Source organism: Homo sapiens, chromosome 7 (assembly GCF_000001405.40).
Source record: "Homo sapiens chromosome 7, GRCh38.p14 Primary Assembly".
Classification (NCBI taxonomy): domain Eukaryota; kingdom Metazoa; phylum Chordata; class Mammalia; order Primates; family Hominidae; genus Homo; species Homo sapiens.
In genome coordinates this window covers 107,360,817-107,385,141 of record NC_000007.14, presented here as the reverse complement: position 1 = coordinate 107,385,141, position 24,325 = coordinate 107,360,817, and the positions used below count along the sequence as shown (strand labels likewise).

General features: G+C 36.3%; 1 protein-coding gene across 10 annotated transcripts in view; it reads left to right on the top strand.

Moving 5' to 3' along the window:
• COG5 (component of oligomeric golgi complex 5) overlaps positions 1–24,325 on the top strand; it is a 362,549-nt gene that overhangs the window by 178,779 nt on the left and 159,445 nt on the right. For 8 of the 10 annotated variants that reach the window (NM_001379511.1, NM_001379512.1, NM_181733.4 and 5 more), the window contains exons 8-10: positions 12,382–12,547; positions 22,722–22,834; positions 23,032–23,109. The exons of 1 other annotated variant lie outside the window; for it this stretch is intronic. In NM_001379511.1, coding sequence (NP_001366440.1) covers positions 12,382–12,547; positions 22,722–22,834; positions 23,032–23,109 — 357 coding nt within the window. The remainder of the gene's footprint in view (positions 1–12,381; positions 12,548–22,721; positions 22,835–23,031; positions 23,110–24,325) is intronic. One more of the 10 variants, NM_001379516.1, reaches the window with a different exon arrangement.

Below are 24,325 nucleotides of genomic sequence, written 5' to 3'. Positions count from 1 at the left end.
TGGCCTTTTTCGCTGTGTGTCTCTGTGCTTTTCTTTTAAAAGGACATCAGTCATTGGCTTTAAGGCCCACTATAATTCAGTATGACTTTATCTCAACTAATTACATGTGCAAAGATGCTGTCTTCAAATAAGGTCACATTCTGAGGTTTGGTTGGACATGATTTTTGGAAGGACATTGTTCAACTCACTATGTCTTCTACAATTTAATTCATCTGTTAAGCATATAAAGACGTATATTAGCTCTGACTACCATAACAGAATACCATAGACTGGATGGTTTAAACAGCAGTTTATTTCCTCACAGTTCTAGAGATTGGAAAGTCTAAAACAAAGATCCAGCAGGATTCAGTTTCTGGTGAGGGCTCTGCTTCTTGCTTACAGACAGCCGCCTTCTTGCTGTGTCCTGCCATGGCAGACAGAGTGAGCAAGCTTTCTGGTATCTCTTCTTCTTAGGGTACTGATCCCATGAGACCAGCCCTCCCAACCCCTTGTCATGACATTGTTGCAGGACTTTTCCTTAGTTCAGCTAACGATGGGGTCCTTGTTCGTCCCATGGCCACAAAAATTTAGGCTTTCAGACAGTTTGAAGGGTGAGTGAAGCACAGTTTTACTGGGGGAAAAGGGGGAAAACAGGGCCTCTCGCAAAGCCAGAGTCCCTGGTACAGTGCTTCCTGCCCGGCAGTTCAAATCCCAGGTTCCACACAGGAAGAGGAAGGGCCAGGCTCCTCCCTGCTGCAAAGGCGGTGAACTTCCCGAGGCTCCACCTCAGTGGGCAGGCAGGTTGGAGTTTCTCCAGGGACCCCCTCCCACCTGGCTGTTTCATTCCCCCCTCTAAAGAAGTACATCTAACTGCCATTAGATGGAAGGGTAAAGATGAAGACTGATCTTAACTGCCTCTTGCTGACAGGGGGCGCTATTTTGGGGGAAATGGCAGTCAGAGCTTCCTAGAGGCCAATCTAAGGGTTCCCAGCAGAAGGAGCCATCGTCAGAGGCTCTGGTTGTGTGACCATTTGGAGTCTGATGGCTTGAAGGCAAGAACAGACAAACCATCTTATTAGAAGACATGTATCAAAATGAAACAAGGGGAGGGGTAAGGACAGCTCAGAAATTCCGAGGCCTTCTACCAGTTTGCACAGGGAGAGGGAGGCCAAAAGCCTGACTGGCAAAAAAAACTTTATCCTTTTGGTGGTATGTTGGGCTTCTGGGATCTCTTCCCCTGAGCTTAACCCTAAGCCAGTGAGTTTGAGAAATTCTTTGCAGTTTGGAGGATGCATCTGAAGGGAGTGTCCCCTAGTACAGAGGCACAGTTACCTATCAGTGAAGAGAGGACAGATGAGAAGAAAGAAAAAAGAAGGCATCTTTTAATGGCTTCCCGGGGGTTCAGAATGCATTAGAAAGGGGTACAGACTGAAGATGAATGGCTGCCCATTTAGAAAGAGAGGAACAGGCAGCCCTGGTTCCCTTCTCTTCCTACCAGATACCTGGGGTACGTGAGGGAGAGAGGGAAGAGTGTCCTCTTTCCCTCTTCTGTCCTTGCACCCCCAAGTTCCAGCAACCTTGGCAGGCACCGCAAAAGCAGCTTGCACCCTTGAGGTAGGGGGGCCTAGAGAATAGGAATTATCCACTCTTACCTATGTCTCTCTAGCACCTACTGTCAGTAATCTTGGAGTTCCCTAGACCTCATTTATGCCATGGATATTAACCTGGCCTTTATCCATGAAACAGGAAGGTTGGGGTTGGCTTGTCAGGAATGAGCCACGCTCACCTGCGCTGTGCCTTTTAACCTCTGTTGTCATCTGCCTCTGGATCCCTCAGGTCCAGTTTTCTTTCCTAGGGCTTTGACCCAAAGCTTGGAATTGAGCCTGGGACAAAAATGTGTCTCGGAGGGGTTGCATGGACTCCTTATCATTAAGCTGAATGCTAAGGTGAAACTGTGTAATTGAGTCCTCCTCCAAAAAGGGAGAGAAAATGATGTCTTGTGACACACCCAGATAACTGGTAGCTATAGTCATGCTTGCCAGGATTTGGGTGCGTGGTGCTTGGCTTTGGTTAGCTCCCTTGGTCTTACTTTCCCAAAAGGAAACCTCTGAGTGATGCGCATCCTATTTATTCCCATCACCTGGCAGGATTTGCAGGATTTTAGCTCAGAAATAGAAAATTGATCCAGATTTTTACATTACCCATCCCTCTTGTTCTTTCTGAGTTGCAGCTGGAGACTGCTGTTTGATTTACAGGAATAAGTAAGGTTAGTCTAAAATGTAGGCGAAAACTTAAAAACAACTAGTGAATTTAGAATTTAATGACAAATATATGATGAGTTTTGAAACATAACTTCTCTGTCTCCAGTCCTCATGTTTGTTAAAAAATCACCACAGGACTGAGTTCTTTGAAAAATAGACTTTAGGCTGGGTGCGGTGGCTCATGCCTGTAATCTCAGCACTTTGGGAGGCTGAGGCGGGTGGATCACTTGAGGTCAGGAGTTCAAGACAAGCCTGGCCAACATGGTGAAACCCCGTCTTTACTAAAAATGCAAAAAATTAGCTGGGCGTGGTGGTGGGCACCTATATTCCCAGCTACTGGGAAGGCTGAGGCAGAGGAGAATCGCTTGAACCCAGGAGGCAGAGATTGCAGTGAGTTGAGATCGTGCCATTGCACTCCAGCCTAGGTAACAAGAGTGAAACTCCATCTCAAAAAAAGAAAGAAAAAAAGAAAAACAGACTTCAGTTTTATACTTGGCCTGGTTATTTGCATAAAGTGCAGCAAGAATAATTATTTCTACATAGGCCTTTTGGAGTGGCTTTGATGGAATTCTGTTCCACAAGGAATCTCAGATAAGACCTTTTAAAGCCGAGCCCAACCATGGGTTTGTATCCTCAAATACCTGTGATTTGGGTGAGCCTCTCCTCTTAAGGTCCCAAGATAAACTTGGAGCTCCTGGACCTGTTAGAAAGGGACATTCTTTACTGACCACAGGTCAGGAACCCTGTACAGGGACTGAGTAGCTGAGGGTTTGAGGCCAGTTTCCCCACTGGACTTTTATGGACTCTGCACGTCACGACTGACCCCTTAAAGAGAAGCATACCCTTCCAGTCAAAGCCTTGGTAAATTACCAGTTTTTTCAGTTGTGTCATGTTGCAAAAGAAAAATGGATTCTTGTTGCACTGATGCAAACAACTATATTGCCATAAGAATACTCACAGATAGTTTCCAAATTTTAGAGGAACTAGACAGAAACAAACATGCTCCAGTCTTGATCACGGGGGGTATACCTTACCCAATTAATAAAGGCCATAAATGTATAAAATAAGTTTCCTTGACTCTGAAAAACAAAACAAAGGTCAGCAATATTCCAACCAAAAGTCAAAAAGTTTGCTTCAGCTTTCTGAGTTCAGTCGATAATTGGTTAATTATTGTTTTGCTTGATATTTTTGAACATTTTAGCTCTTCGTGAGTCTTGTACATTTTCCTTTATTCCAATGTCGCAATCTCCAAAGTTATGAGAAGCCTGTATTTGAGAGCACCTGCCAAAGTTCTGTAGATTATAAACCATCTTTTGAAAAGGATAAAAACAAGACAACAATTGTCTGTGAATTGCAAAATGTCCAGGGTACAGTTCAAACACAATTGACGAAGTTTGGTTATCTCTATGGTTTCCAATAACTTAACCTTAATTATGATTAGTAGCATATACTTAGACATTACAATTTTAGAAATTCCATACAATTTGGAACATATGTTAGCAATATTTACAAAAATATAACCTAAAGAAGACTGAACATCATTTTGGCAATCCCATGTAGCTAAACATGTCAAATAATTCTGTTTACCTCTCTTTTCTAGACATTTCAGGGACCCTCTGCACTATCTGAAAAGCCAGGTGTCAGGAAAGACAATTCTGAAACTGAAGTTTGATTTTGGGAAGCCTTTTTAATATTTTTAAAGCACTTGATTTTATGAAATAGAATTCCAGATTAACATAAACGATTTTATTTTGTCAAAATGACTCAGAAATTTTAAAGAAGCAAAAACCTTTTATAAACCTTTTGAATTTAATTAATATGTTCACACAGAGAACCTCTTCTGCAAGATTAATTCCCACAATTTATGTGGGAATTTATGGGTTCTATTTATGTGATGGATTACATTTATTGATTTACGTATGTGGAAGCCAACTTGATCAGGGTGGATAAGCTTTTTCATGTGCTACTGGTTTTGGTTTGCCAGTATTTTATTGAGGATTTTCACATCGATGTTCATCAGGGATATTGGCCTGAAATTTTTTTTTGTTGTTGTGTCTCTGCCAGGTTTTGGTATCAGGATGATGCTGGCCTCATAAAATGAGTTAGGGAGGAATCCCTCTTTTCCTATTGTTTGGAATAGTTTCGGAAGGAATGGTACCAGCTCCTCTTTGAACCTCTCGTAGAATTCGGCTGTGAATTTGTCTGGTCCTGGGCTTTGGTTGGTAGGCTATTAATTACTGCCTCAATTTCAGAACTTGTTATTGGTCTATTCAGGGATTTGACTTTTTCCTGGTTTAGTCTTGGGAGGGTGTATGTGTCCAGGAATTTATCCATTTCTTCTAGGTTTTCTAGTTTATTTGTGTAGAGGTGTTTATAGTATTCTCTGATGGTAGTTTATATTTCTGTGGGATCAGTGGTGATCTCCCCTTTATCATTTTTTATTGTGTCTAATTGATTCTTCTTTCTTTTCTTCTTTATTAGTCTGGCTAGTGGTCTATTTTGTTAATCTTTTCAACAAAACCAGCTCCTGTATTCATTGATTTTTTTTTAAGGGTTTTTCGTGTCTGTATCTCCTTCAGTTCTGCTCTGATGTTAGTTATTTCTTGTCTTCTGCTAGCTGTTGAATTTGTTTGCTCTTGCTTCTCTAGTTCTTTTAATTGTGATGTTAGGGTGTCGATTTTAGATCTTTCTCTCTTTCTCCTATGAGAAATTTCCCTCTAAACACTGCTTTAGCTGTGTCCCAGAGTTTCTGGTACATTGTGTCTGTGTGAGAAATTTGAGTGAATTTCTCAATCCTGAGTTCTAATTTGATTGCGCTGTGGTCTGAGAGACTGTTAGGATTTCCGTTCTTTTGCATTTGCTGAGCAGTGTTTTACTTCCAATTATGTGGTCAATTTTAGAATAAATGCGATGTAGTGCTAAGAAGAATGCATATTCTGTTGGTTTGGGGTGTAGAGTTCTGTAGATGACTATTAGGTCCGCTTGGTCCAGAGCAGGGTTCAAGTCCTGATATCCTTATAAATTTTCTGTCTCGTTGATCTCATATTGACAGTGGGGCATTAAAGTCTCCCACTATTATTGTGTGGGAGTCTAAGTCTCTTTGTAGGTCTCTAAGAACTTGCTTTATGAATCTGGGTGCTCCTGTACTGGGTGCATATATACTTGGGATAGTTAGCTCGTCTTGTTGCATTAATCCCTTTACCATTATGTAATGCGCTTCTTTGTCTTTTTTTATCTTTGTTGGTTTAAAGTCTGTTTTATCAAAAACTAGGATTGCAACCCCCGCTTTTTTTTTTTTTTTTTGCTTTCCATTTGCTTGGTAAATATTCCTGCATCCCTTTATTTTGAGCCTGTGTGTGTCATTGCACGTGAGATGGGTCTCCTGAGTATAGCCCACCAATGGGTCTTGACTCTTTATCCAATTTACTAGTCCGTGTCTTTTAATTGGGGCATTTAGCCCATTTACTTTTAAAGTTAATATTGTTTTGTGTGAATTTGATCCTGTCATCATGATACTAGCTGGTTATTTTACCTGTTAATTGATGCAGTTTCTCCATAGTGTCCGTGGTCTTCACAATTTGGTATGTTTTTGCAGTAGCTGGTACTGGTTTTTCCTTTCCATATTTAGTGCTTCCTTCAAGAGCTCTTGTAAGGCAGGCCTGGTGGTGACAAAATCTCTCAGCATTTGCTTGTCTGTAAAGGATTTTCTTTCTCCTTCGCTTATGAAGCTTAGTTTGGCTGGATATGAAATTCTGGGTTGAAAATTCTTTTCTTTAAGAATGTTTATTGTTGGCCCCCACTCTCTTCTGGCTTTTAGGGTTTCTGCAGAGAGATCTGCCGTTAGTCTGATGGGCTTCCCTTTGTGGGTAACCCGACCTTTCTCTCTGGCTGCCCTTAATATTTTTTCCTTCATTTCAACTTTGGTGAATCTGACAACTATGTGACTTGGGTGCTCCTCTTGAGGAGTATCTTTGTGGTGTTCTCTGTATTTCCTGAATTTGAATATTGGCCTGTCTTGCTAGGTTGGGGAAGTTCTCCTGGATAATATCCTGAAGTGTGTTTTCCCACTTGGTTCCATTTTCCCTGTCACTTTTAGGTACACCAATCAAACGTAGATTTGGTCTTTTCTCCTAGTGCCCTATTTCTTGGAGGCTTTGTTCATTTCTTTTCACTCTTTCCTCTAATCTTGTCTTCTTGCTTTATTTCATTGAGCTGATCTTCAATCTTTTATATCTTTTCTTCCGCTTGATCGTTTCGGCTGTTGATACTTGTGTATGCTTCATGAAGTTCTCGTGCTGTGTTTTTCAGCTCAATCAGGTTCATTTATGTTCTTCTCTAAATTGATTATTCTAGTTAGCGATTTTTCTAACCTTTTTTCAAGGTTCTTAGCTTCCTTGCATTGGGTTAGAACATGCTCCTTTAGCTCGGAGGAGTTTGTTATTACCCACCTTCTGAAGCCTGCTTCTGTCATTTCATCAAACTCATTCTCCATCCAGTTTTGTTTCGTTGCTGGCGAGGAGTTGTGATTTTCTGGAAGAGAAGAGGCATTCTGGTTTTTGTAATTTTCAACCTTTTTGCGCTGGTTTTTCCTCATCTTTGTGGTTTTATCTACCTTTGGTCTTTGCTGTTGGTGACCTTCAGATGGGGTTTCTCTTTGGACTTCCTTTTTGTTGATGTTGACGCTATTCCTTTCTGTTTGTTAGTTTTCCTTCTGACGGTCAGACCCCTCTGCTGCAGGTCTGCTGGAGTTTGCTGGAGGTCCGCTCCAGACCCTGTTTGCCTGGGTATCACCAGCAGAGGTTGCAGAACAGCAAAGATTGCTGCCTGTTCCTTCCTCTGAAAGCTTCGTCCCAGAGGGGCACCTGCCAGATGCCAACTGGAGTTCTCCTGTATGAGATGTCTGTCGACCCCTGCTGGGAGGTGTCTCCCAGGCAGGAGGCACTGTGGTCAGGAACCTACTTGAGGAGGCCGTCTGTCCCTTAGCAGAGCTTGCTTCAGAGCCAGCAGGCAGGAACATTTGAGTCTGCTGTAGTTGCGCCCACAGCCACCCCTTCCCCCAGGTGCTCTGTCCCAGGGAGATGGGAGTTTTACCTATAAGCCCCTGACTGGGGCTTCTGCCTTTCTTTCAGAGATGCCCTGCCCAGAAAGGAGGAATCTAGAGAGTAAAGATTATTTTATTTACCCGTTAGGTTGATGCTCTTATTTTTGCTGTTATGCACATGAGGAAACTAAGCCTTAAAGAGGTTAGATAATTTGCCTTTAGGTTTTGACTGCTATGTGGTAGAGTTTGGATGCTGATCTAGGTCTGGCTCCAAAGTCTGTGAAATAAGAATAACAAAAAGCTAGTAATGGAATACAAAATCCAATAGAAGCCAAAATTTAGTTACTTAACAAGATTAACAAATTAAATTGATAAATACCAACAAGACTGATGAGGAGAAGGGAAAAAAGAGGCACAAATTACCACGATCAAGAATGAAAAAGGTGATCTAATAACAGACCCAACAAAAACTAAAAAAAGTTAAGACAATATTAAGTATGAGTTTATACCAATTGATTTGAAAATTTAGATGAAATTGACAAATTTCTGGAAAACAACATATCAAAAATGACACTAGGAAAAGTATAAAATCTATCTAGTTCTATATCTATTAACAAAATTGAATTTATTATTAAAAAAACCTTTCCTTGGAGAAAACTCCAAGGCCAATCAGCTTCACTGGGGCAATTCTTCCAAACATTTAAGGAATAAATAAACCAGTGTTATGTAAACTGTATCCAAGAATTGAGAAAGAGGGACCAAACATATGTACCTGCTCATTTTATGAGGCCAGGTTAATGTCAATATGAAAATGAGAATATTGTAAGGAAGTAAAATTACTAGTTGTCTTCCTTTAAAATCTGTACAAAAATAATAAGCAAAGTGTTAGTAAATGTAGCCACAGAGATCTAAAACTGATAATGTATTATGACCAAGATGGCTTTATTCCAGAAATATAACATAATTTCTCAAGTAAAGGGGGAAAATTATTATCTCAATACATACTTAATAACATTCAAAATCAATTCATGATTAAAAATACTCTTAGCAAGCCAGTATCTTTAATCTGATAAAGGGCATTTCTAAAAATCTCGATGGTGAAATATTTAAGGCTTTCCATTTGATATTAGGGATGATGCAAAAAAACCACTCTTATTTCTTCTACTCAGTGCAGTACTGAAGATCCTAGCCAAAGTAATAAGAAAAGCAATGAGATAGAGGAGAATGGGAAGGGAGAAATAAAAATTATTCAGAAATACCATGGTTATATAGTTAGAAAAGTCAAAACAATTTACTGATTGTTTACAAAAAATTTAAAAACATACAATTTATATCAAAAAATAATAGAAATAATTTAAACTAAAGATATATAAGACTTTTTCACAGAAAACTATCTATAAAACATTAAGAGAAATTAAAGACCTGAGTAAATGAAAAGAGATACCATATTCATGGATTTGAGAACTCAATATTACAAAGATATCCATTATTTCTAATTTTATCTATAGAGTTAATGCAATCTCAAACAATACCTGAAAACTTTTTTAAAAAAAGGACATTTGTCAAGCCAATTTTGAAATTTATATGGAAGTGTCATATATCAAGAAGAGCCTATACCAAATTGAAGAACAGAGGCAGAGGATTGCCAAATCTGGTATTTAAAGCTACAGTAATTTAGATAGGTGAATTGTAAGGATAGAGAAATGGTAGAGATTTGAAAGTCCAGAAACTCACACACATATTTAGAAACTTGGTTTATTGCAAAGGTGACTTTTCGGGAGTGCGGGTGATTTTTATTTGCTCTTTTTTTGATCAATTGGGTATTCATGTAGAAAAACACTAATCTTGACTCCTATTTCACATTGTATAGAAATTAATTCCAGGTGAATTGTATTTCTGAGCATGAAAGATAAACCAATAGAGTTTCAGGAGGATAACTTTATGAATGAAAGATATCTTTATGAATGTGGGGTGGGGAACACTTATCAAACAATACCAAAAGTACTAAACCGTAGAGAGTAAGATTAATAAAATGGGCTACATTCAAATTAGGAATTTCTTTTCCTTAAAATACTTGATTAAGAGTGGGAGAACATATTTGCAGTACATATAATTATCAAAGTGGTTGTATCCAAAATATATAAACAACTTTATATGTAAATGACAAAAAACAACTAGTTAAAAAAAATGGGCCAAAATATGAATAAGTTCTTCACAAAAGAAGATATCCAAATGGGTAATTACCATGTAAGAAGTATTCAGTTTTTTAGTCATCATAGAAATACAAATTAAAATCATAGTACTCACTCAAAATAATAGCCAGAATTAAAGGAATGATCATTTGAATTTTTGGCAAATTTGTGGGGCATCCACAGTTTTCATATATCGCTGGTGGGAGTGTAAATTGCTGCAATGGCTTTGTAAAATTGGCAGTATCTACAAACTCTAAGTGTACTAATATGATTTAGCAATTCTACTTTTGCCTACAGAAATGCATATGTATATATGTTCACTAATAGAGGTGTACAGAATGTTCATGGCGGCATAAATTAAAATACCTAAAGGTAGAAGTAAGCCTATTATTTATCAACAGTAGGATGGATAAACTAAAGCAAATTACTACAGTGGAATACTGCACAGCAGTAAGAAATGAATCAACTACTGCTGCATCCAACAACATGGACGAATTTCACAAAAAAATATGTTGAGTAAAAGGGACAAGCCACAAGATAATACATACTGTATAATTCCATTTATGTGAAATTCAAAAACAGAATAAATTTTTGGTGTTAGAAGTAATGATAGTGATAATATTTGGAAAGGTGCAGTTTGGGGAGCTACACAAGATTCAAAGGTGCTGATAATACTTAGCTTCATGATCTAGGTGATAGTTAACTAGGTGTGTTCACTTTGTGATAATAAAGCTGTGCTTACATAATTAGCATACTCCTCTGTATGTATGTTACTTAAAGAATTTTATTTCAGGTAATTATTTTGCAGTTTTTTTACTGGCATAATCTATGTGTTAAGCTATAAATATGAATGCCATTAATTGAAAAAGTGAACATGTTAATTGACAAGTTTAAAATTACTTCTAGAATTATAAATATTGTAAATTGTATTATAAATAATGCTGTAATATATACTTCTTTAATGATGAGCTATATTTGTAATATAATACACCATTACGTTAAAATAATGCCAATAGATTTCAGAAGTAACCTTTTCAAACATGTTTTGAGAAGTTGGAAGTTAGTAATTTTTGGAGCGGAGAATTTTGAAGAGTGGTTTATTTTAGCTAGGTGTTTTAAGTGAAAAATTTAAGTGTTTTTTAGTTGTTGTATGCATAAATCTTACAGCGTACATTCAGCTGATAACACTGAAACTGTACTGTGTGTGGAGAAGCTATGCTTTTCAGATCCTCTGATAATAGTAAAGGCAATAAATATAGTTTTAAAGTATATCTGTATTCTAGTTTTATGAGGTGAAAGTATTCTTTGATGTTGCTCCAGTAGTGCTTTCTTGGATTATACATACACTTAAATAATGACATGGGAAATTTCTTTACAGCTGCCTCATTTTGATTTTTGGTGTCTACTAAAAAGTTTAAAGATAAAACAGTCTTGGGAGAAAGTAAAAGCAAATGCTATACCCCTTGTTTTCAGTTAATAATTTTTTATAAAATAGCTTATTTTCCTTGTTGGCATACGTTAATAGAGAATTTACAACATAAAATTAAGCTCTATTATGACCATACTAAATTAAGCTTTTTTATTAGAACATTTTAATTTGAAATAATATCCATTTGGTTCTTTTTATTGTTTAATTAAAAAGAAAAAACTCAAATGAGTATTGTTATTCACCAGCCATGTTTCCTGTTATTTTCTTTAAGCTGAGTCTACTTTGCCTCTGTGTGTGAGTTTATGTGTATGTCTGCAGCATGTACTATTATTAAAATAACACCAATAGATTTCAGAGGTAACCTTCTAAAATAAACTTAGTATAGAAAATAGGTTAATGAAATAATTTAACATTTTAACCATGTGTCTCTGATAACAGACACTTACTAATGCGTGAGAGGATTTTGAGTTATTTGGGCCTGAAAATATATGTCAGTGTCTCAACTTCTAGCTTGGTAATTTGTTCGTTAACTTAGCCACAAATCCAACAACCCATTTATATCACTCTGGACATAATCCACTCATTGATGATATTTCAATACCTCCCTCATCTTCTGCCTCTCTGCTTCACTCTGCTCCATCATGGCCTTCTTGCTCTTTCCCTAGCATACTAAGCACATTGCTATCTCAGCACTTTTGCTAATACCACTGCCCCGATCTGTATTTTCCCATATCTTCCTTTGACTCCCTCAGTATATTCAAGTCTTTGTTTAAATATTACCTCAGAGGTGCATTCTCTGACTAATCTCTGTATAATAATTCCCATCATACTCTATTCTTATTCCCTACTTCACGTTTTTATAGCACTTGTTACTACCCGTTATTCTGTTTTATTTATGTTTTGTACATTTCTCAATAAATGTAAGTTCCATGAAGACAGGAACTTAATTGGTTTTGTTTCACTACTGTTTTTCCAGCACTCAGAGCTATGACAGATACAGTAGGCACTGTATAAATATTTGTAGTTAGAATGAATTAATGGGTCAGTGAAATATAATGAATAAGTCTGCATGGTTCAGCTCTCAGTCAACTCCACAGAATTAATTTATTGTCAAACAAATGTAGAAATAACAAATGTTATTTCTAATATGGTTCTTTTTATAGGGATTGGTGGTAGATTTTAAATAAGCTCGAATATTATACAACAGACTTTCAAACTTCTTGTTATTTTTTAAAGGAGGACAAAAATGGTAAGGGGGAAAATAATATACATAGTATTTAACTTTGTATTTTATGAAATAAAGTTTAAAAATAATCTTCACTTCAAAATGTGTTTTTTCTTGTCTTTGATAATTTTAAAATATGGTAGTATTTAAATATGATAGGACTGCTGAAGTCCTGCTTAAAGTTGTATATTTATGTTGATTTTGTTTGTTTTCCTATTTATATCTGTTTCCACCCCACCCCACCTTTTTTTAAGAATCCAACTCAAGTCGGAACAGCTCTTCAGGTTTTCTATAATCTTGGAACTTTGAAGGATACTATTACCAGTGTTGTGGATGGATATTGTGCTACTTTAGAAGAAAATATCAACAGTGCATTAGACATAAAAGTTTTGACTCAGCCTTCCCAGTCAGCTGTGAGAGGTATGGATGTGGTTTATATTTAGCTTCTTTATTTATTTATAACTGAGAAGTCTTTTGAATAGTATGTGAAACACTCATGTTTCAAAGCAATCTAATGACTCATTTTTTAGTAGACAGAAAATGAGAGAAGAAATTATGTTTCAGAATTTATTTATATCTTTTTTGTCTAATCAGTGAATTGAACTGGCCAACTGGTATATTCAGAACTTCTAGATAAAGATCCATAAACTGTAGCGTCATTTGGTTGAGAGGAAACAGATGCAAAAAATAAAAAATAAAAAGGCAAGGAACATATTTTTCTTCTAAAATCCTTATCCTCCCATGTACTTCTTAAAGACAGAAAATATTTTTTAAGGAATGCCGTCTCTACTTTAGCTTTCTGGACTTTTCTTTATGATAATTCTGGTACCCAGGAAAAATAATGACTGACTGTGGACATAGAAACTGATAAAATCCTTGGCAACATTACAACTGTAGTAAAGTCTAAAGAAAACTATTAAAGGATGGTAAATTCAAGGTAGAGAGGAGTAGCCTTTCATTAGGAGTCTGTAAACCTTTTCCTACCAAGACATACCTGGTGATATTTACATATACACACAGTTCTCCGTAAAAGAAGATAGAAAAGACCACAGATTATGTCCATCCTTACTTACTTGCTGCCACTCCATCTCTCTGTTTCTCCCCTTATATTCATTCTTCCTTCCTGTTGGTAAGGATGAACTATGCTTTCTCCCAGCAAAGACCAAGCACTCTGCAGTTGTATTAGATCCCATCACTACAAGGTATTGCTTTAGCAGATGCCTTCTTTCTACCAGGTTGACAATGTTTCTTTCTTTGCATCTCTTTCCCTTCACATATAGTTGTGTTATTGTATCTCCTTTTGCTTAAAACCAATTAAATAAATATATCTTAATTTCTTTCTTCAGCTCTACTACCTGCATGTTATTTCTTCAGTCTTCAGGAAAATTTCCCAAAATGTTATCTATAGTTAATGTTTCTGGTTTTTCTCCTCCCATTTTTCTGTTGAAGGCACTCTGATCCATCACAGGGTTGATGGAATAACTCATATTGAATTAATAACAGTTCCTGATCCATAGCTAATAGGAAAAAAAGTGGCTATTTATTAATTTTTAATTTTTTTTAGATTGTTAATTTTTTATTTAAAAAAATATAGATGGAGTTTTGCTATGTTGCCCCAGTTGGTCTTGAACTCCTGGCCTCAAGCAATCCTCTTTCCTTGGCCTCCCAAAGTGTTGGGATTGCAGGCATGAGCCACCATGCCTGGCCTATTATTTTTATATTTGCTATATAAATGTGACCTTACGTAATACTGAATATATATAACTTTTAAGTTGTACTGGATAAAAAGAGATGAAAGAATCTTAGGTCTTAAAGAGATTTTTAAAGGTTAGGCCTAGCCTCTGAATAGGTTTGTATTGAAACTATTCCAGAAAGAGATCTTTGTAAAGAACTTGCCAGAGGAGATTTTACTCTTGGCTTTTCCCAGCAATTATTCTCAGAAAGTTTGATATAATGTTTAAATTTCCAGGAGCAGTTTAATCTCATTCCCCCTTGTGTCGTCAAGAATGGGGAAAAAAATGAAAGCAGTTATTCATGTGCTGTCAATCCTAATGTATGCCTCTTTTGTTGAGAGAATTAAAAAAAGCTGCCTTATTACCATGTGTTGACAAGTGGATACCATGATTTAACACAGAAACCTTAAGCATCAGTTCTTTATTATTTTCTTTAAAAGCATAATCACAATTATTGTGTGTGTATATATATATATATAAATTTTTTTTTTTTTTTTTTTAGCTGGAGTTTCTGGTCACCCAAGCTAGAATGCAATTGCACGATCTTAGCTCACTGCAACCTCTGGTGCCTGGGTTTAAGCAATTCGCCTGTCTCAGCCTCCTGAATAGCTGGGATTACAGAAGCCCACCACCATGCCCAGCTAATTTTTATATTTTTAGTAGAGACGGGGTTTCATCATGTTGGCCAGGCTGGTCTCGAACTCCTGACCTCAGGTGATCCGCCCACCTCGGCCTCCCAAAGTGCTGAGATTACAGGCGTGAGCCACCGCGCCCAGCCAATTATTTTATATTTTAAAATGTTTTATAGACAGTATTAATGTTAGTTTCCTGATCTTGTTTATATTGAAGTTATGTAGGAGAATGTCCTTGTTTGTTGGAAATACACATTAAAATATTCAAGAATGATGGGCATGAGGTCAGTAACTTCCAGGTGGTTCAGGGAAAATTTTTTTTTACAATACTTACAATTTTTTTATAAGTGTAAGATTATTTCAAAATTTTAAAAATAATAGGATTCTGTCAGTGTGTGTTTCTGAGAGTGAATGGCTCACAGCTGTTGAGTATCTAACACAACCACTACACAGGAGATTGACAGTCGCATTCATGAGTGTGATGGTGCATGATCTCATTTTCAATCTGAGACTTCCTAAGAAGAGAAAAAAAATTATACACACACGCACATATATAAATATAAATAATACAATTTTAAGTATAAAAAGTAAACAGCCTGTAACTCAATAAGAAAAAGGTAAACAACCCAAGAGAAAAAAATGGATAAAGAATATGAATAGGCAGGTCACAGAAGAACACATTCAATAAGCATGTGAGAAGATATTCAGCCTCTTTTTGGAGGATGAACTAGTTATTAAGGAAATAGAAATTAATCATCAGATTGGCAAAATCTAAGACAGAACTAAGTTCTGGACAAGAGCAGAAACTCTTGTAAACTATGCAAGGAGAATAAAATTCACTTTACTCAATTTTATCAATTTTATCTCTAAGGTGGAAAATGTGTTCACCTTATGATGTTATACTTTCTAAGAATATACTGCAAGGAAAATCTGGCATGTATATGTAAGAATTTTTGTTACCTGGCCGGCGTGTTGGCTCATGCCTGTAATCCCAGCACTTTGGGAGACTGAGGTGGGCAGATCACTTGAGGTCAAGAGTTTGAGACCAGCCTGGCCAACATGGTAAAACCCCCTCTCTACTAAAAATACAGAAAAATTAGCCGGGCGTGGTGGCGCATGCCTGTAATCCCAGCTATTCAGGAGGCTGAGGCAGGAGAATCGCTTGAACCTGGGAGGGAGAGGTTGCAGTGAGCCGAAATAGTGCCATTGCACTCAAGCCTGGGCAACAGAGCAAGACTCCATCTCAAAAAAAAAAAAAAAAAAAAGAATTTTTGTTACCTCATTGTTTACAAATAGTGAAAAAGTACAAGCAATGGATAAACTAGTTTATTAAGGGGATTAATACACAGCATTTAAATTAACAAATTTCCCAGTATAGATAATGGTCAAAAACAGCACATGAAAAAGTTACAGATACATACATACAGCCTGATACCAATTTAAAGCCTAAGAATATGACAGACCATATTAAATTGTTTTTGCATGTGCACATATGTACTAACAGTGTAAATACGCACATTGGAATAATGATCAACAAATTTAAGATACCAGTGCTGGGCATGGTGACACATGCCTCTAATCCCAGCTACTTGGGATGCTGAGGTGGAAGGATCACTTGAGCCTAGGAGTTTGAATCCAGCCTCAGCAACATAACAAGACTCTGTCTCTTAAAAACAAACTACAAAACCCGATACCATTACATCTGTTGAGAGAGCAAGGGAAATGAGACCAGCAAAGGAGAGTACAAGGAAACTTCACTTTATTTAGTGTTGTATTTCTTAAAGCTTGGTGGTTAGTGTTCATAACATTATTCTATATGCTTTTTTGTATGCCTGAAATATTTAACAATAAAACATAAATGTTGAGAAAGTCAAACAGTGAAGAAAGATGATGATGAAGCAAAGTAGACAACACAGAATATCCAAATTTCATCACCCAGATAGATACTGTAGTTGTTACTATACAGTGAAAAGTAGTCCATACATTTATCTGTGCATTATATGTTATAGAAGGGTAAATGGAGAGGCATAAATGGAATTTTAAGATACATGCTTTTTAAAAATACCTTTTTATTATAAAACTTAAAGAAAAACATAAACATGTAGCTTAATGAATTATTATAAGGTGAACACTTCCTAGGCTAAACCAGCGATCCAGAAACCTGTTTATGTACTCCGTACCAATCACAACCAGCCCCTCTCTCTCTCATATATAACCATTGTCATCCTCACTTTTATATTGATAACTTCCTGTGTTTTTCTTTTTATAGTTTTATCATTCATATGTGTGAACTTAAGCACCATAGTTTAGCCCCACCAGTTTTAGAAGTATACTTTTTAAAATAAAAAGTATTTTACTTTCATTCAACAGAATAATTAGAAATTTATGTGACATCAAGGACTTAATGAATTTCCAATTAATGCTTCTTCATAAGAAATACTAGATCCTAATTGATACCTCCAAATTTAAAAGTAGTGAATGAAAGATTTAAAAAAAATAAGAAATTGAAGTCATTTGTTACTAAGTCTGTTGAGTCTTTACTACTAAATGTGGGAAATAGGCATACTTATACTTTTCCCTTCCCGCCCCCCATCCTCATTTGCCAGTTGTTAGTTATGTTATTTTTGAATGATTAATGTTTTTTACATTTTATTCTATTTTTAAATTATTTTAATCTCTGGTTCTTTTAATATGACCTCTGCATTTCTTTTCTCTTTTTTTCAGTAGCTTTAGGGGTACAAGTGGGTTTTGGTTGCATGGATGAATTGTATAGTGGTGAAGTCTAAGATTTTAGTGGATGGTCACCCGAGTCATGTACATTGTACTAATATGCTGTTTTTTAGCCCTCACATCCCTCCTACTCTCCCATTCTGAGTCTCTAATGTCCATTATACCACTCTGTCTTTTTGTACCCATAGCTTAGCTCCCACTTATAAGTGAGAACATATGGTATTCAAGTTTCTGCTCCTCAGTTACTTCACTTAGAATAATGGCCACTTGTTCCATCCAAGTTGCTGCAAAAGATATTATTTCATTCTTTTTTATGGCTGAGTAGTGTTCCATGGTGTGTGTGTGTGTGTATATATATACACAACAGTTTCTTTACCCACTCATTGTTTTGTGAACACTTAGATTGGTTACCTGTCTTTGCAATTGTGAGTTACATTGTGATATACATACACATGTAGGTGTCTTTTTGATATATGACTACTGGGTAGATACCCAGTAGTGGGACTGCTGGATCGAATGGTAGATGTACTTTAGGTCTTTGAGAAATCTCTGTACTATTTTCCATAGAGGTTGTACCAGACCTCTCCATTTCTATATTCATCTCTCCCTTGGCTGGATATCATAATCTAGTTGATTTTTCAAAATGTTTTATGGGTACTGTGCTTTCTGAGTCCTTGTGTAGTTGGTGGTGTGTTTTGCTTTTATGCTTAAATGATTTGGCCAGGTATAAATTTTTATTTACACTTTCTTTCCCTTAGAATTTTGTAGCTGTATGTGTCCAAATAAATAATGTTTTTCTTCCCCCACTGAATTGGAAAATGAGACAAAATGTAGGAGACAAAAAAGGTGACAATTGTAATGTTAGTTTTATTACTGTTAAAAAAAAATACACCGAAAGGCATAGCTTAGATTTATGACCAAATGGATTTTTTAATATATCACCTCAAAATTAAACTTACTTCCCAATTCAGCCTTTCCCACTATACTTACCACTGGTAGAATGTTGGTCAGAATGCACCTTTTATATATGCAAAGCTTCAACAACAGAGAAAGGAAGAGACTGAGCCAATTAGGCTCAGTTTCTTATTCAGATTCACTCATCACTCACTCCTCTTCACATGGGGAGAATTGGATAAGAGGTAGGGAAAGAAGGCAAGAAAGTTACTTTAGCTGAAGTCCCTTCATATGAACGGAAAATGGAGGGTCCCATCTACCATCAGACGTTGCTTTACCAACTGCTGGGTTTTAGTGTTGTATTAGAGAATTATGAGACTAATCAGATTTTTATCCCACACTACCTGACTTGCTTTTTCTTGACTGTCCAAATGGTTTTTCCTTTATCTTTGAAGTTCAGTGACTTCTTTAGGATATGTCTCAGTTGAACGCTGTGTGTCAGTTTTTGTGTGTGTATGTGTGTTAAAGTATGTTCCCTTTTATAGAAAAGTTTTCTTCCATTGTATATTGAATGTTTTCCTGTTCCATTTGTTCTTTTCAAGAACTTTATGCATATATCAGATATTCTCTGTTTTCCATGTCTAGTATCTTCTTGCACTTGGTGCTGGGCATGCTGTGGGAGAGAGGGTGTCATGGATGTGGAAGTCTGATTCTCTTAATATTTGCTTGGAGTTTTTTCACTTTGCTTCCAGTATCTTTGCATTTTACTTCATTTTGTATTATTTCCTCTTGCCTATTTCACATGTGTTACTATGTTTTCACTCTCGTTTATTATAACTTGTGTTTTTTCTAATATGGTCCTTATTTCTATAATATTTTTCCAGTGAGTATTCCAGTAATTTGAGACAGTGGAAAACTGAGTATCCCTTTCTATTCTTTCTTTGGTGATATATGTTTATCACTGCTTTTAGCTTATATTCCTTTCTTCCTCCTTCCTGCCACCCTCCCCAGTGTCTATGTTAAGTCTATTGTTGCTTTGTTTCTGATGATTATTCATCATTGAAAAGTGCTAGCTATTCATTGAAGAATAGTGTAGGCATGGCTGAAGGGAGATACCTGAAGCAGTCTGCAATTTAATTTAGGTTTGTTGTCTACAATAACCATTGACCAGTTTGTTACTTCTTTTTACCTTGGGAGCACATCTGTTCTCAAAATTTGCATCATTCAGAAGCTTAGTATGGCTACCAGTAAAGCTATTTAAGCCATTTCAGTGTTGAATCCTAGCATTCTCAGTATTTTTTTTTTCTTCATCTCACTTTACCTCCAGTAGTCTGCCCCACACTCAGGGGCTAATTCTTAAACAACATAAATATCAATTCCTTATGATTTTCCTTCAGCTTTTCTTTTTTTTTTTTTTTTTTTTTTTTTTGTCATTTTGCAATGTTGAACATTCCCTGGCCTGTCCTAATCTGTAGATCTCAGCTGTAATCAAAGAATCCTTAGATAGCTTGTGCAAATTCTTACAATTGGTTTTAAGAGCAATTTACTTCTTCCTAATGATCTAAGGTGTCATCTCTCTGGTTCCTTCTTCATTTTGACTTATCTACAGCAACTGGCATGCATGCTTCATAATCTCAAGTTTGAAGTTTTGTTTGATTGTTTGTGTCTTTGAAATTGACATTTTCTATCTTTTGTTTGATTTTCTTTTCATTGGCATTCAAGAGAAGAGAGTAAGAAAATGATTTTATTCCACCGTCACTAACTAGAAACCATTTTTCAAGTATTATATCTATGAGGAACTCTTAGTTTATTTTATCACTTACATAAAACTTAAGAGACTATTTTGTTTCTTGAGTCTATTAAAGCTAACTGGTAATGGCAATGTCTTGTATTTCTGCTTGTATTTAAAAGAATAATAGGTTAAAGGGTTTCATAATTATAATAAAACCAAGTCATACATATTCCAGGAATTTGACCTATTTTTTTAGTATTCATAAAGGCACTACATACCCTTTTCTCACTGTTATGAGTTCATTCTTTATATAACATATGAGACAGCTGCAGATTGTTACAGTATTATCCATTTCCTGTATACCTTCCCTTAATAGTCTTTGCATAGCACTGCAAATATTCTAAAGATTCATTAGATGCGGATTTCAAACAGATAATATCTATATTTTTTAAGCCAACATCTTTCTCATAGATTATTTTATTGCTTGCTACTATTATCAGATTAAAGAAATAACTGCATCTGTTTGCTAAAGGTACATGTAATTCTTTTCTGAATTGTTGAAAAACTACAGTGAGGTAGTTGACACACACAGTCCCTCTGGTTTTCTTGATCTTGTCCTCCTTAAAAGCAGGGATATAGAATGACTAACCAATGATGAGTTCTTCTACTGCCTGGTATTAAACGTCAGTTTGGAGTGAAATGTATGCCTTTCAATTTGGGATTAAAATTTCTATTTTTTTATTGAAACATTTCAAACCTTTACATAAAGATTCCTGTGTGTGTTATATACAAGAAAATTCTTAGTCTCACTCTCTAGAAATTTCGTATTGATACATTAATATTATTTAAGGTGCAGTTCATACTCAAAATTTTATTGTTCCCCAAAATGTTGTTTATGTAAGTTGATTTCCCCTGACTGAAACCAATGAAACCAATCAGGGATCATGCTTTTCTGTTGGCTGTCTTGTCTCTTTAATAAAAAACAGCACCACTGGCTTTTTTGTTGTTGTTGTTAATGGCATTAACATTTTTTGGAGAGCCTCATAATCTGAATTTGTCTGGATTCATGTGATATTTTCTTCATGATTAGCTTCAGGGTAAACATACTATTGGTAAGATGATGTTGTGTACTTCCTATTACATCATATCAGGAAAACAAAATTATTTCAGTTTGTTTCATTATTGCTGATGCTAAATTAGATCACTTCATTAAATTGGCATATGCCAGAGTGCTCCTTGTAATACTATGCTCTTATCTTTGTAATTAGTAATTTATAGGTGCATACTTTGAGACTATGTGATGAATATCTTGTTCTCAATAACTTTTTTTTTTTTTTTGAGATGGAGTTTTGCTCTTGTTACCCAGGCTGGAGTGCAATGGTACGATCTCGGCTCATTGTAACCTCCGCCTCCTGGGTTCAAGCAATTCTCCTGCCTCAGCCTCCCGAGTAGCTAGAATTACAGGCATGCAACACCATGCCTGGCTAATTCTGTATTTTTAGCAGAGATGGGGTTTCTCCATGTTGGTCAAGCTGGTCTCGAATCCTGACTTCAGGTGATCCGTCCACCTTGGCCTCTCAAAGTTCTGGGATTACATGCATGAGCCACCATGCCCGGCCAATAACATTTCACTTAGTGTTTTGGTATCCATCGATACTCTTTGTCTTAATTAACTTTGCAACCAGTAGTTGTAAAATGGTGATTTTTTTTTCTAATTCTGTCATTCTTTCTGCATTTATTAGCTGATACTCTTTTGTAAAGAGCATTTCCATCCTTTTTAAACATTTGAGTTTCACTGTGTACTCATGAATTATTTTTTAATCATTGTTTTATAATTCATTACCATCAGTATTATTTTGGATGGCCAAATTCTCTGAAATTTGTGTTGTGGAAGCCCCCTCCAGTCAACTTGATGTATCCTTTTGAAAAATTTCATTTGTCTTCAAATACTTTATTGCTCACTGGCACAATATCTACCACATTCACCTTGTATTTTCACTGCTCCAAATATGAAATCACTCTTTTTTCCACTGAATCCTGCTTTGTTTTTATTGGAGAATGGTCTTAGAAATCAAAATTTGGACACTACATATACTTATTACTATTGAGGAACCATTGTCTCTCTGACTTTCCAGTGGATAGAGTGGGGAAATACCTCTGATTCCTGTTACGTATTTGTGTCTTTATTCTGTTTACACTGAGAACCTTATTTTGCTCCATTCCAAAATATACCTAAACTAGTTTCAGGATTACTACTTCAATACCACATCCAGCAAAAATCTATTTAATAAAGTTCAGTATTTCTTTGTAATTTTTTTGTGCATAAATGTGTCTCACTAAAGTCAGCGTTCTGTAAGTAAAAATTCCGTGAATTAAAATTGTTTTCCTCCTGTGTGGTTATATTGTCAATTTGATATACAGTTAGTTTTATTTGTTTCGGTATGTGTTTATGTTCAGTTTTAGGGTTTTTTTTTTTTTTAAGAAAGGGGATACAACACACATACACACACATGTGCATACACAGGATAAATGGGAAATTAGTGAAGATGGTTTCCTACAAGAGGCATGAGAGTGGTAGGAAACAGAGGAAGACTCACCTCCATCCCTGTACCTTTCACCTGTTTCATTTCCCACCATTCTCACACCTCTTGTAGGAAACCATTTTCATCAATTTCCATTTTATCCTTCCTGGGTATGTGTCGCTTCCCTTTCTTTCTTAAGCATAAAAGGTTAAGATTCTTACTCAATAAATTATTTCCTAAAGAAGGAACTTCTCATTTTTTAGCTTGCGTATGGTTTTTATAATAACATATATATATATATTTGCCTTTGGAAAACTTTATTTTTCATTGTTCTTTCTCACTCATAACCAGGGGGACCTGGACGATCTACCATGCCAACCCCAGGAAATACTGCAGCTTTGCGTGCCTCATTCTGGACCAATATGGAGAAACTTATGGATCATATTTATGCTGTTTGTGGACAGGTAAATATTTGAAGGAGTGGAAAAAACATTAATATGGATTAACTCCTGGTTATTCCAAATTGTGTGACCTTGGGCAGGTTTTTTAATCAATGAGCATTCAAAATACCTCCACTAGCTGATGATAATGTACGTAAAGGTTGCCATTTCCCTTTTCTTGCTTTTTCTATTGCCTAAGCTTTACATTTGTTTCATTTAAGGTACAACATCTACAAAAAGTATTGGCCAAGAAGAGAGATCCTGTTTCTCACATTTGTTTCATTGAAGAAATAGTTAAGGTATGTTTAAAGGAAAATATTTTTACATCTTTCTTGTACAAAACAGGAATATATGAGTCAGCATCATTTGTGTTACTACTACCTTATAGAGTGGCTACATATCAGATGGCAATAGAGAAGTGTATTTCTTGACAACTATAATAATGTTCCTTGCAATATAAATGTAATCATGGGGCTGGGCGTGGTGGGTCACGCCTGTAATCCCAGCACTTTGGGAGGCCAAGGTGGGTGGATCATGAGGTGAGGAGTTCAAGACCAGCCTGACCAATATGGTGAAATTCTGTCTCTAATAAAAATACAAAAATTAGCCGGGCGTGGTGGCATATGCCTGTAGTCCCAGCTACTCGGGAGGCTGAGGCAGGAGAATTGCTTCAAACCAGGAGGCAGAGGTTGCAGTGAGCTGAGGTCACGCCACTGCACTCCAGCCTCGGCGACAGAGTGAAACTCTATCTCAAAAATAAATAAATAAACTAAAATAAATGTAATCATATTTGTTTATGGAGTAGCTGCCAGCAATAGTATTATTTATAGATTAATTTCTGTAATGTATATACTAATTTCTCATTTTCTGTCATATAAATGACAGCTTATAAGTGCTTTAAAACTTCCACTAGAGAATAAGGTGAAAACTTTTGATAAATACGACATTTAAATAGAAGTCATTATAATGTGTTTACTGAAGGTCATTGATTTTTCCCATAAAGTACTTTGCTATATTCATTTTCCATATTCTGAGATCTTTCTGTCTTCCACCAATCTACTAGCCTCATGGGCCATAAGAATTCTTTCCATGCATAGGAATCCCTGATTCTACATTTTATTCATTATATTGATGTGTTTTTGATAATGATTCATAGGATAATGATTCTACCGATTGTTAAATCCTAACCTCCAGTAGCCCAAAGAAAAAAGTTTCCTGAGTTTCTAGTGTTATGGTATAGGTAATTTCCTTTGTAAGTCCACAATATTAAATATTTTGTATACTGTGTGGAAAGCCTCCAGGACTAGCCCTCAAGTTTGATGATTTATTAGGAGGATGGATAGGACCCAGCGTCACAGGATCCTTAGGGTGTCACTTCGCCAGCCAGAAACTCCTGTGACCAGTGGTGCCTTCTGCCTGAATATCGCTCATGCCCGCTGGGCTCGTTCCGCCCTCTTGGCCTAGCAGGTTGCACTTGGCTCACACTACCAGCCCAGACCCCACAACTGACAAACA